Below are 13,868 nucleotides of genomic sequence, written 5' to 3' on the forward strand. Positions count from 1 at the left end.
GGAAATTTAGGGGAGACCTCATATGCAGTGTAGAGTCCCTGGCCTTGCTCTGAGCACACACCCCCAGAATCTAGCAGAACCCAGCTTCCTGACTGCTCTGTGGTAGCAGGGAGGGCATCTCTGGTCTAGGGGGGCAGGGCTCACCCAGATGGCTGCCATGCTCCTTGCCAGCTCCTCCCAAGGCTGGGAGGCTGGTAGGCATTCCATTCACCCAATCATCAGGTCTTTCACTATGGACACTTCTGCCCTGATATGGTGTTGTCTCTCATAAAGGGTGGTGGAGCTGTCTTGGACATGTTGTTCTGATAGATTCTAGGCAGGAGAAAATAAGCACTGGTTTCTCACCAAGCTTTTGTTTGATTTTTTGTTAAACACTGATTGAAAGTGTGTCTGATCTCCAGTTAGCCACAGGGATAAAAAAAGAAGCATGTCTGAGACTTAATTTTAATTGTAAGCTACTCATCCATGGCATCTTTTACCTTCACATAAAATAATTTTTCCTGCATAGCAAGAGTTTAGGAGATACTGAAATAGGATTTGTAGACAGATTTAATCAGAATATACTACCTACTATGTGCCCATTTGTGAACAGAAATGTAATCAGTTCCTGTCAATTGAATGGATAATATTCTGGCCCTCTCTTAGGCATTTTCTATAAAAATAGATAATTCATGTTTGCATATTTTCCTATGTCAGGCACTAGAATGTGAACTTACGAGGAGAGCAAATAATGGATTATACAGTACCAGCCACCAGCACAGTGTCTGGTACATGATAAGTAATGTTTGAATAAACAAACAAGTGAATTAATGTGAAAATAGACCTCAAATAAGAAATAAACAAAACTCAATTATTAACATTTGAGGATACCTACAGTTAGTATGGTAGATTGTGGTACATGAGATTAAATGCTATCAACTAGGTTTTTCTTGGTTTAAAGACATCCTGGAGTCTCAATGGACTCACCAGGGCCTGCACAGGATCCAGAAAAGAGATACAGGTCTTCGAAATGATAGTGTCTACATGGAGAGAGATATTTACAGAATAAGCCAAAGCTACCCAAATAAAGCCTATTTCTATGAAAAAAAACAAAAACAAAAAAAAAACAAAAAAAACATGAGAAGTCTTTAGCTCTTGAAGGACCAGGACAATTTGCAGGACTCTGCCCCATCCTTGCGTGAATACCCTGGGGGGAAAACATGCATATCGACATAACAATAAGAACAGTAAGAAGCTTAATATGGAAGAAATGTGAAAGATCAGAAGGCATTCTCCAGCGCACACTCCTACCTGTCTTAGCATTGCTTTAAAAGCCATTGACCGCAGTCTTCTGGTGAGGATCTCGCCAGCTTTCCCAAACGTGAAACCCTGGTTGAGAAAAAAGGCTATGGTCTCTTTTGATCTTTATGTATGTAATTGCACCAGACCAATCATGTTCAACTTTTATGTAGCAAAGTTATGAGTTGTTTTACAGTTGCCACGGATCCTCAAGTCATGTTAATAACCTGAGCAGCCCCAGATGAATCAAGCATGCAACCATAGCAGGAACCTAAGTGCTCCGAAACAAGAATCAGGGACTGAATTAAGAAGCAGACACCACATGGCAGGATGCAGGATTCAATCAGATTGAGCTCTGACACCACCCCATGGCAGGATCCAGTCAGATGGTGCTTCCCGGCATCACTTCATTGCAAGATCCAATCAGATCACACTTCATTACCATACGCTTATAAAACCTGACCCAGCCTCCAGCTTGGGGAGATACTGCTTTGGGAACTAAGCTCTGTGAGCTTCTCACTTGTGACAAGTTATAAAATTCCTTTGCTAAATCCTCCTTGATGTGGTCATTGGGTTGAAACCCACCAAGTGACCAAACCTGCCCGTTGTGTGGGTAACAGTTGCTAGTATTCTGACACAGGTGCCTATATTCACATTGATTTTACATTATTTGTATGTTAACTATTTAAATAACAAAAGTCCAGGACCAAATACGAATTCAAAGCCCCCACGTCAAATTCATGTACTGCAAAATCATCAGTATGCATTACAATCAAAGGCCAAAAATCTTAAAGGTGTCCAGTTCTGGCTTCTAAACCATTCTAAATAGGTTTATTTTTCAAAACTTTGAAGGACAACATCTCAGTGACAAAGATACTGTGTTTAACTACAAAATTCAGTGTGTTCCTACTACTTCCAATAAACCAGTTAAATACAGAAGTAACAAAGTCCTACACACGAATTCATTTTGGCTCATGCAGTGTAAAGGAAGGATGACCTTAGAAACAAGATCCAAATGAGTATGCTGGTTCCTGGTCACAGCTCCACCTGCACTCAGATTGGGGAACAATCAGGGTACTCTTCCTTCCCCAGCCTCTTTGGGACAATTTCCTACTTTCTAATTACCACATCCAAACTGGAGAGGAGTCCAGATATCCAGAAGTGGGCTTACTTCTGGGACGTGTGAGTCTCCAGCCACAGTGTGAGTGTTGGGGTAGCCGTGCCGAGGGCACACGGGGGAGTGCACATCAGAACTGTTTACTAAGCCAGGGGGATAGATGATCAGTGCACCCAGTGAATCGGCCCCAGGTGTTCCTTGTCCAGGACCAGACTGCCCTCCCCCTCCATTTGCTGGCGGATTGCTACAGGTTCTATGCATCAGCCCACTGTTCCTGCGGCCCCTGAAACACATTTTCTAGCTGCACTCCCTAGCATGCCAGGGACTGGGGCTGGATCAAATCATTGAGTTGTGTCTAGTAGGGCAATGATTTCTAAATAAAAAACTTGGTTTACTTTGCCATTGGTTCAACAATAATAAAAGAGAAGCATGCTGGCATGACTAGGAAACACTATTTTGCTGACTTGATGGATTGTATTATATTCGAAAGGCCTATGTGGTGCCCACTGGGTTAAAGAGACAAAAGAAATTACAGAGAAGTCTAACTGGGTAGAAAAGTACAATTAGAGAGTTTGACTAGTTTATTTTGGCCAGGTCTACAACGTTAGAATGCAAAATATTATGTTCTTTCAAATAGTTCATCAATTAAGTAGGAAAAGATCAGAGAAGTTACTTGATATTCTATAAAGAGTAACAACAGAAAAGAGAATGCTATTGGACTGTACTTTCCCAGTTCCCAACCTGTTGAATTTAAGTTACTCTTATGTTCTGCAGTAAACTGAGGTCTCTTGTCCTTGGTAATGAATGTCTGCTGAGGGCAAACTTGTAATGTAATATAAGTTAGGACACAGGGAAGTCACACTTCCCCCTGATAAGGAGTCTACCCTCCAGCAGAGCCTTATGCCAATCATGTTTGCAATTTATTTCACTGTAAGAATTTGGAAGCTCCATTAGGTTTAATTTAATTTCTCTAATTAAATTATAAACTTGATGAGAAAGGCAAATCATGGGTACCTACCTGAAGGAAGAAAGTAAAAAAAGAAATAATTCCCAGAAATAAGAAAATCAAAGAGAATATGTTGCACTTCTGCTGCTTCACTGCATCATCGCCTGGTCCAAAAATCTACAAAAGAATATTTAAAACGCCCACTTGGATTACATAACTGATCCTTCTTCATTCCTCTCATAAATAGTGGCTTGAGTGTCACATGTTTAAAACTAGGCTTCAAATATGTAGGGTTTTGGTAATTGTGGTAAAATATACATAACACAAAATTTACCATTTTAACCATTTTTAAGTGTATAATTCAGTGGCGTTAAGTACAGTCACATTGTTGTGCAACCTTCACCAGTATCCATCTACAGAACTTTTCGCCTTCCCAAACTTCCCAAACTTGATACCATTACACTGACTCCCCATTCCCTCCTCCTCCCAGCTCCTGGTAATCTCTATTCTACTTTCTGACTGCATGGTTGTTAACATAGGTTGACATACTGCATATGGACTGTGAGTGGTTGCACATTTTAGCATTTGTTCCTCTTCCTATATGTCCCTTGCTCCCTGTGACTCCTCCCTGTCCCAGCCCTCCACTTCTCATTCCATCAGGCTTCCACCCAGAGGGGCCTTTCCTGAGCATCCTATCTGAAACAGCACCCCCAGCTAACACCTCTCTATTACCCTACCCATCTTTTAAAACTCTTGTTATCCCTCAACATGTTACATGTTTGTGGGGTTATTTTTTTGTTTGTCCATTGCATGTCTTCCCCGACAGAAACCGCTGTTTGAGGGCACAACTTGGTTTATTTGTGTACCACTGTATCTCCAGTGCCTGGAGCAGCACTAGGCAGACAGATGCCCCAAAATATATAGTCCACATTGCCTTGAATTGCAAGAGAGCCAGAGCTTGCTTTGTTTTGAAACTTTAAAAGATTTGGAGGAGGATCTTTTCTAATTTATTTATTTTTTGGCTTGTGGTCTTAATTGTGGATCGATGTCCAACATCACAAAAATAATAAACTCGTAACATGATGGAGAATTATTTATCCTCAACAACAAAGTCTCTCCAATAACATTAGAGCTTGACTGAAATTGTAGAATATGAATTCTGGATTTCATGGAATTGATGGAGGCTTTATATTTGTGATAACTTCCTTTAAATATCCCCCAATTAATTGAATGATTGGCTAGTATGTTTTCTTTCTTAGTCTTGGACTCCCCAAGCCTTGGAAGGATTGCTAAAATGGGGTGGCTATCGCTTTTTGAATACTTACTACAAGGCACACACTCTTAAATGCTTTCCAGATAGTTACCTATATAATCTCTTAATCCTCAGCCATGTTATGAGGTAGATTTATTGTATAGATGAAGAAACTGAGGTACCGAGAGCTATTGAGTGGTGAGGCCAGTCTATACCCAGTGCCTGGACTCTTATTAAACTCTATGACTTTAACCCCTCCCTGCTCCACTCTCTCTCCACCTCACTGTGCGACTTGTACCAGCTTTTCTACACAAACAGATTGGGGATCATTGTCTGACACCAGTTTCACCAAATGAAGAGAGCTCATTAGAATGCCTTCTTCATTGATTTTACATTTTATAATTTCATTAATATCATAACTTAGAGTGATTCAAAGGCTACTTATCTTTTCCCTCACAGCTTTTCTCAAAAGGGATTTAAGGACTTTGGCTTAGTTTAATTTAAGGCTGCTTAATCCCAGAATGGAGCCAGTCAGTGAGGTTGGGAGAAGCAGCAGCTGATGAATTGATCTAATTCAGGCTGTTATGTGGTGTTTGCAAACTTACCGCTATGATCTCTGAGAATATGACTGAAAATGCCGGCTGAAGCCCCCCATTGGCAATGGCACATACTGTTCCCACGACAAAGTAGGGCCATTCTGTTTTATTCAGTTTCAGGACCTTCAGAAAGGACACTGGTGGCACATTTGCTTCCTAGAACATATAAACATCAGGGCAAACTGGTGATGACACAACAGTTACCAGAGTCTGTAGACATAGAAAAGGCATGGCCATTGCCCTCAAGGGACTCGCAAACTAGGTGCAGAGAATGACAAGCAAACTACTAGAGAGTAGGACAGTATATTATAACATGTTAACAATGTTTACTGATTACACATCATAAGCTGAGTATGGGTTGTTCGGCCAAGAAATAACCTTCATGGGATGCTTAGCCCGTCCCTATTCTGGCCTCAGCAGACTGCGAGGTAGCAGGATCTGGGCACAAATACCTTGGCATCCAGCTCTGGAGTTACACAACACTGTATTGGTGTGACAGTCATGGCTGGACCACATAAGCCGAGCTGCAGTTTTCTCATATATTATGATACAGTCCTGCCTCTCTAACAGGGATGATATCTGGGTCAAATGAGACAATACACCTGAGTAGATGGATAAACATCTTTGCAAATGTAGGAAACCATTACTAACTGGAGAACATGGGCTTGGCCTCCTCACCCCAAAACCTTGCCTTTTCTGTACCATATTTCCAACTCACAAAACCAAATTAATTACATTCCTTTTCTCTTACCACACTTTTCCCTGTGCAGACTTCTCTTATTTCATAGCTTAGCTTGTCTGTGATTTTTTTGTTTACATATTTCCATTTCTAGTATGTAACTTTTTTTAAGGTAAAGATTATGTCTTTATATTCCTAGAAAGTAGTCCAATTCCTGGCACATATAAGATTCTCAGCAAATGTTTAATTAAATGTCTGGCCAAGCATGCAGGATTTAGGTCTCATAAAGAATGTTTTGATGATAGAAGCAGTTTAACATTAAACTTGAGACAGAGGTGACTATGGAATCCCAAAAACTTGAGGTCACTGAGAAAGGTTATATTTATATCTCTATAAAACAGAGAATATAGAAGTAGGTTCTACTGAGCCTTCTTTCAAATTACCCATTTTTTCTGTATTTCAGGGTTTTTTTTTTTCCTCCCTAGTTAACATTATCTTTAAGTCCCTATCTCCAGCATAATGAATGAATCTTTTTCTTTGGTTACTGCTCTTCAGCACACAAACAGGTCCCTCTAATCAGACTTAATCTCTCCCTCTCCTTTGGCATGTTGTTTTCTCCCTATGATGGTACTTGGGACAATCTTGTTGATTGCAGCATTTCCTGCCTCCCCCTCTTCTCTGTGCATTTCTTCAAGAGACGTGCTCCTATAAAATACTGGAGTTTAAAGAGATAGCAAAATAACTCTCAAAATAAATGAGGAAATGAAAAGTGGATAATTTCATAGCCAAAAGAGGGGAAATTGCTTATCTGACTTATAATAATGACGCTCCAAAATGGTACAATTGTTATTCTTCTTTCTATAAATATACCAAGATTAAGACCTCTAAGAGAGTCCTTGTAATTTCTGCAGTAATAGCATGCACAGATAAAAACAGATGCAATAAATTATTGGTAGAATTAGTTTTCTCAGGCCAACACAAGAGTAAAAATAAACTCAGTCTTCATTAACAAATAACATCAAAATATATCAAAACTATATCTTGAAATAAGGAAATCTTTTTTTGGAATGGATTCCCTCTGTATAATAAAATTATTTGTTCCAGCCTGGGCAACATGGTAAAACCTCGTCTCTACAAAAAGCACAGAAAAATTAGCCAGGTGTGGTGGCACACACCTGTAGTCCCGGCTACTAAGGAGGCTGAAGTGGGACAATCAGTTGAGCCCGGGAAGTGGAGGTTGCAGTGAGCCAAGATTGCACCACTGCACTTCAGCCTGGGCAACACAGCAAGACCCTGTCTCAAAAAATAAAATTAAAAATAAATAAATAAATAAAATTATTTGTTAACTGGAGTTAATAATCTCCTAAATCCAACGTTGCTATTTCTCACCATTCTCCTCTTTTTCTAAGTAAGAGAATTCCAATCTAATTTAGAATGTCAATGCATACAGCAAAAAAAAAAAATTGAATTTTCCATACTCATTGCTAAGTATGGCCATGTGATCGAATTATGACCAATGACTTATAAGTAATAGTATTGTGTGGGAATTCTGGAAAACCTCTTTGTTTCTTCCTGTTGCTTGGACCACAGATGTGATAGGTAGGGCTTCAGGAGCCACCTTAGATCATAAGTGACCCTGAGGATGGAAACCTGATGCCAGGGTAGTGCAGATAAAGATGAAGGGAGCTTGTGTCTATGGGGACTGTGGAGCTACTGTTCTAGCCCTGGGTTTTTCACCTCTAAGATTTTGGCATGTGAAACAGAAATAAAAACTCTTAATTTGCTTAAACGGATGCTATTCTGGGTTTCCTAATATAGATAATCAAATGTAATCCTACCCAATAGAGTATGCAAATATCAGGGCCTCTCGTTTTGGACCAGTCTTATTACCTCTGGACCTCAAAGATGAATGTCAAATTTAATTTTAATATTAAGCATCTCAGCGTAAAGACTACATTTCTGGATTTTTTTTCCCTTGAAAACCCATTTATAATTGGAACTGATTTCAATTCATTGTCAAATACATTTAAAATTTGAAAATTTTTTTCTTTACAAAGAGTATGGCTCATAGTAGCAGTCATCTGTGCCTGAAAAATATTTGCAAGGCTAAGAATTTCAATAATTGTAGCAAAACTACAAAGTAAAAGACTTAATTTAAGTGAAAAACAACTTACAAGTCCATCGGTTTCCACATCAAGGCTCTTCTGACACATTTGTGAATTTTTAAGGTTTTTCTGAGTAGAATGCCTAAATAGGCGAGATTTCCAGCCATTTGGGGCCATTCTAGTGGCAGCCTTTTCATCATTTAGTTCAAATTCTTCTGACTGGATCTGGCTTCCTGATGTCTGAAAGAATATCAAGACATTAAAGTGTGTGTGTGTGTGTGTGTGTGTGTGTGTGTGTGTCTCCAAATGGATGTAACCTCCAAGTTTAGAATCATAAAGCAATTTGGAATATTACATGTATCAAGATTTTCAGATTTCCTAACTGCTTCTCAATCAAGGATAGCTAGAAAACTATAAAGTATAGAAAGGTTAAATTCAATTTGAACAATAAGAAAATCGGAGTATAAGAATATTTTCTAAAAATTTAAAGACACATTTTTCGTAATCCAGAAGGTATATAGGAATTTACTTAATATGCAATAATCCAGGGAACAAGTCATGGCCACCAAGAAAGGGAAGAAGACTACATGGAAACACTAACAAGGGCTTGTTTTTAAAGCTACAAACAAGAAAAGCTGAATCAAAGGGCCTGGTCACTACCCACGGGAGGTAAAACTGTCTTCCTCGACTGGCTGAGTATGGTCATCTTCCTTCCTCACAGTCCTGCTCTCATGCACACAACGAGACCCAACATGCAGGCTCAGCCTCATTGCTGGCTGTGAGATCAGTTCTCTTTTTAATGGGAATGGGGGTGGGGGTGCTGATCTAAGGACTTCTAGTTCACTGCCTAGTAAGGGTGAGGGAACATCAAGCCCTGCTGGAGTTGGACTTTGGACTGGTTCCCTATTTGCTTCCTCCACTATTAAGATGTGTCCAACTACACATCTTAATAGTTTGTTCAGGGTCTTAGTCCTTGTAGTAGTGTCTTGTTCTTGCTCCTCCCTTCAAGACCTGCCCTGAACCCAATCCTTTGGCTAGTGCCTTACTGTACATACAATAGCCAATCATGATCTCTTAGTTTTCCAGTTGCTCATTCAACATCTGACAGAACACTGCCCATGTGCTTATATATTGCCTTGAACCACATTGCAGTGATATGTTCTGCTTGGTGGATTTCCTTATTTGCTCATTACTGAATCAGTTTTATACCATCTCTCAACAAAAACCAACCTAGGCTGCAGACTTTGTAATTGATCCCTTGCATTCTCACTGCCATCTGTTCCCACACTGCTACCAGATTTATTTTCCTAAAGGGCAGCTCAAAATCATCCCCAGCTTCCCACTACCTGCCCAAGCCTGGATCCCCAAAAATCTAGCTCATGGCAAGTCAAACCAGACCACCTCTCATGAATACCTCCCCAGAACTTTTCCTCTTTTGGTAATCTCATCCATGCTATCAAGAGGTCCATCTCAATGGACAGTTCTTCCAATAAGCCCATTCAGATTTTAGCTTCCTTCTATGACCAAATGAACATTACCTGTCTCTTTCATAATATTTTTTCTGTGCCTTACCTAAAACACTCAGTTGGTGTTGGGTGCTTCAGCTGAAAGGTCATTGAGCTCCAAGCCAAGATAGCCACTTTTCCACCAGGTGTTAAAAAGTATCTATTTAAAACCAATAGCCCTCATTTCTTCCACCCAGGTATACTTCAGTTGTCTCAAAGATTTAATTGTAAAAAAGCAGAACAAAAAATGCTGAAAGGAAATGGGGTAAATATCCTTTCGGAGAACAACCTCAAATCCTGAAGACATGGAGGAAAAAACTGACAACCTAATTACATACATTTTAAAGCTTCTTTATGGCAGCCAAATACAACAAAGTGAAATTGAAAGGAACAAAGCAGGAAAAAAAAATCTCTCCAATACACGCAAGAGAAGAGTGTATTTTCTTTTTATGTAAAGAGTTCTCACAAATCAATGAGAATATCATGAACAACACAACAGAAAAATATCCTAATACAGGAACAAATACTTTCACAGAGGAAGAAAAATATAAATGGCCAATAAAAATGTAGAAATAAGCTCAATCTTATAAATAGTTAAATTTGAAGATACTGTTTAACTCTTTAGGCTGGCAAAGATGAAAAATAAATACGAAATAGCTATCAGTGGCTGTTTGTAGGGATTTGGCTTATGATGACTTTCAAGTTTCTAGAATGTAATGTTTGGATTTTTTAAAAAAATGCTTGATTTTTAAAAAGAATGCATTACCTTTATAATCAGAAAAAAATTAAGATACATTTAAAAGAAACAACTAAGAGCCAACAGTCTACCTAATGGAAAAGCAGTGATACTTGTTAGAAACAATACCAAAACAAGGGTGAATGAAAACCAGGTTGGTCTTTGAAACTTGAGAAAAGAGTACTGCATTAGCTTGAGCATCTGCTGACTCTCAGGCTCACAGTGGGTCTTTCCCTCATCTCTCCAGCCTCACCAAGTAAGTGGGAGGGCAAAACTCAAATCAGAAATGGGAAATGTGGGGGTACCCAGGTGGAACTATTCAAAGGGGCTGAGAATCACAGAATGCCAGAGCTGGTAGAAATATCAGAGGTCATCTTACCTGAAGCCCCTGCTCATTTAGCAAGTGAGGATAACAAAACCCAATTTGGTTAAATGACTTGCTCAAAGCTATTGCCTAGTTGGTGACAGATTTCTATCATGCCAGACCACTGACTGTTCAGTCTTCAAATGTACAACTTTTCCTAAGAAAGTAAGCTTGGGAATTTGATATAGAAAGGTCAGAGCTGTCTGCATCTCTTTAGCAGTCTCCCAATCCAAGTCCTGATGGAAGCAGAGGTCATTCTTACAAGAGCTTATGGCAATAGGACAGCCAAGTGGTTATTTCACTTGAGGATTCAACATGTCATTATGGGCAAAATCACAGACCCTTGGTAACCACTCATGAAATTAAAACTAAAATGGATTTAAAGTAACATTTTATGCATTCCTAACTAGTGAAATGACAAAGACCCTTTATGGTGGCTAGGCCATATGGTAGCATTCGGCAGAGACACTATCATTGATTCCCTCCACTGTAGAACACCCTCTGGCACATGCAAGCCTGAGTTATAAAACTTTTCGTCATTTCATTTGGTATTTTCATTTGGGGGAATTTGCAAATTTTAGTAACCACCATTTATCATCATCTAATTTGTGTCAGGTCTTTTTTTTTTTAAAAAAAAAAAAAGAAAAACAGCTTTTTAAAAATATAATTAACATATCACAAAATCCACCCTTTTAAACATTTCAGTAGGTTGTTTTTAGTACACAAGTATTCAGATGTTTATTTTTCTAAACTTATAGCAACCTCTCATGGTAGGTTTGGTATTCCAAATGTAGAAACGAAGGCTCAGAAGAGTTACTTGTCAGAAAGCAAGGCAAAATTTTGACAACCTTTTTTGATCTACTTGTGCTCACAGTGGCAATATTTAGAATAGAGAAATACTGGAAACAGACCAAATATCTAACTTTAGAAAAATGACTAATTTCACACATTAATAAAATGAACTTCTGAGCACCCATTAAAATAATAGTATGTGGATGACGTATATCTGAAATGTTAAGAAAAAAGAACAAAAATATGTGTGTACATGCTAATTACAGTTGTATCAAAGCAAATGTATATACTTTCACAAATAGAATCGTTCATAGAATAAAATATTCTTAGGTTATTTATTCTGCAATGTTGCTCAAGTGACTGAGTATAATAACATGTCTTAATAATATGAAAAACCAATCATTATCAATATAACCTGTTTTAGGAACTAGAATGAATGAGTGCTCTTTTCTTTCTTTTTTCTCTGAGACAGAGTCTCGCTCTGTCACTCAGGCTGGAGTGCAGTGGTGTAGTCTCAGGTCATTGCAATCTCCACCTCCCGGATTCAAGCGATTCTCCTGCCTCAGCCTCCAAAGTAGCTGGGACTACAGGCGTGCACCACCATGCCCAGCTAATTTTTTGTATTTTTAGTAGAGATGGGGGTTTCACAATGTTGGCCAGGCTCGTCTCGAACTCCTGACCTCAGGTGATCTGCCCACCTCAGCCTCCCAAAGTGCTGGGATTACAGGCATGAGCCACTGCACCTGGCCTGCTTTTTCCTTTTAAAAGACAAACTATTCACTTCCTAGAGCCACAAATCTTGATGATGGTCTTATTAGGATCATCTGGGAAACAATTTTAGATCACATGAGACCTCCCTCAACCACTAGAGATCCTGGCTGGTCAAAAGGAACCCTACAGCAGTGCTCTGGAAAAGGCGGTCACTTGTCAATGACTTCCCTAAAATGTTTCTGGTAAAGTCTCTGGCATTCCATATAACTCAGAGCCGGGGCTCCTCGGACAAGTCGAAACACTTTTCTCGTCCTCTGACTCCCAAAACTCTGACCATCCCATTATGGTAGAAAGGACCTTTTAGTTTGACCACATTCCCCAGGCAATTAGGAATCTGTCCTAAGGAATATATCCATGATGTTTTTGGCACTTTCCCCTATTTTCTCACCTGCTACCTCTTTACAGATTCTGATTTAAAGTCTCAGATATACACTTTTAGGCATCTTGTTGAAGTTTCTTCTTGCTCAGTATAGCATTCACTGGATCATATTTTAATATTTAAAGAACACTATATTGAGGAGCAAATAGCAGAAAAAATTCCTGAAAAGCAAGTACCTGCATGTTGACAAGTTTGAAGTACACCCCTTCCTTCTTCATCAGTTCGCTGTGGCTTCCTTGCTCCACAATTACTCCATCCTCAAACCCAGCGATGACATCTGCATTTCGGACCGTAGACAGTCGGTGTGCTATCACAATGGTGGTCCGGCCTTCTCTGGCCTAAAAGAACAAAAATGTGGTGCATCAGGGTTACAGTATTGGCACACTGTCAATTAACATGCACAGTTAAGCACTTGGATGAATGCTGTTTGTAGATGATTAGAGAGTAGTTTATACTCCAGATCTCTGCGTGATTATGGCAAAGGCATCACTCTTTATGAAAAATTAAAGTCAGACGAGTTTGGGACCAGACAAGTGGCTAACCCCTTCAGTAGGAGGATGGGTGATTTCTCCAGAAACCTATGGTAGTGTCAGTGTTTACTTAAGAAAAATAAGGGTTTGATCCTTCTTCAGTGTTTTCACACTTGTCTGAGAAGCCCTAGCTCTAAGTTATATGGAATGCTAGAGACATCACCAGAAATATTTTAGGGAAGTTGTTGCCAAGTGACAGCCTTTTCCAGAGCACTGCTGTAGGATCTCTTTTTAAGAGCCTGATCTTAACTAATTCTGATGAACTGAAAGCAGGCAGTTTAGGTGAAAATGTACCTTGGGATCAGGACTATTAAAATTATGGTTCAAAAGCCATCCAAAGCATAATCTCTAGAGTAAGGCAAGTAAATCTGCTCTTTAACAAGTGCCCTAGGTGATTTTTATGCATGCTAAAATCTACAAATCACCTGTCTAACTAGTTTAGTGGCCTCATATGTTTGCTGGGTGGATTTATAAATGGGCATTTAAACCCTGGATAATGCCAATAAAAGTATTGATATTATGTCATTAATAATGGCTACTCTTTCTGACACTCATTAGCCCTTTTACCCAATAGCTTAAGATCACTCCTACTCTGAGACAATCAAACCACATCATTAGGATGGTTATTAGAGAATAGTCTAATTCACCTAAGTGGTTAACATATAAATTAAAAATGAGAGGCTAGATTCATAATAGGCAAAAAGTGGAAACAATCCAAATATTCATCAATTGGCAAACAGATTTAAAATGTGGTATATCCATATAATGGAATATTGTTAGGCCATAAAATAGAATGCATTTTGATTCACATCACAACA

General features: G+C 39.1%; 1 protein-coding gene across 20 annotated transcripts in view; it reads right to left on the reverse strand.

The window, feature by feature from the left end:
• Positions 1-13,868, reverse strand: part of ABCB4 (ATP binding cassette subfamily B member 4) — a 110,132-nt gene that overhangs the window by 52,812 nt on the left and 43,452 nt on the right. For 15 of the 20 annotated variants that reach the window (XR_007060054.1, XR_007060050.1, XR_007060049.1 and 12 more), the window contains 5 exons: positions 12,697-12,858; positions 8,043-8,213; positions 5,199-5,345; positions 3,414-3,518; positions 1,291-1,368 (listed from right to left, as the gene is read on the reverse strand). Coding sequence is in view for 8 of the 20 variants with exons in the window: in XM_011516309.4 (XP_011514611.4) it covers positions 1,291-1,368; positions 3,414-3,518; positions 5,199-5,345; positions 8,043-8,213; positions 12,697-12,858 (663 nt within the window). In the remaining 12 variants the exon portion in view is untranslated. Of the gene's footprint in view, positions 1-144; positions 313-1,290; positions 1,369-3,413; positions 3,519-5,198; positions 5,346-8,042; positions 8,214-12,696; positions 12,859-13,868 lie in introns of all 20 variants that reach the window. The other 5 variants (XR_007060047.1, XR_007060046.1, XR_007060052.1 and 2 more) reach the window with 2 other exon arrangements.

This window comes from Homo sapiens, chromosome 7 (assembly GCF_000001405.40).
Source record: "Homo sapiens chromosome 7, GRCh38.p14 Primary Assembly".
Classification (NCBI taxonomy): Eukaryota; Metazoa; Chordata; class Mammalia; order Primates; family Hominidae; genus Homo; species Homo sapiens.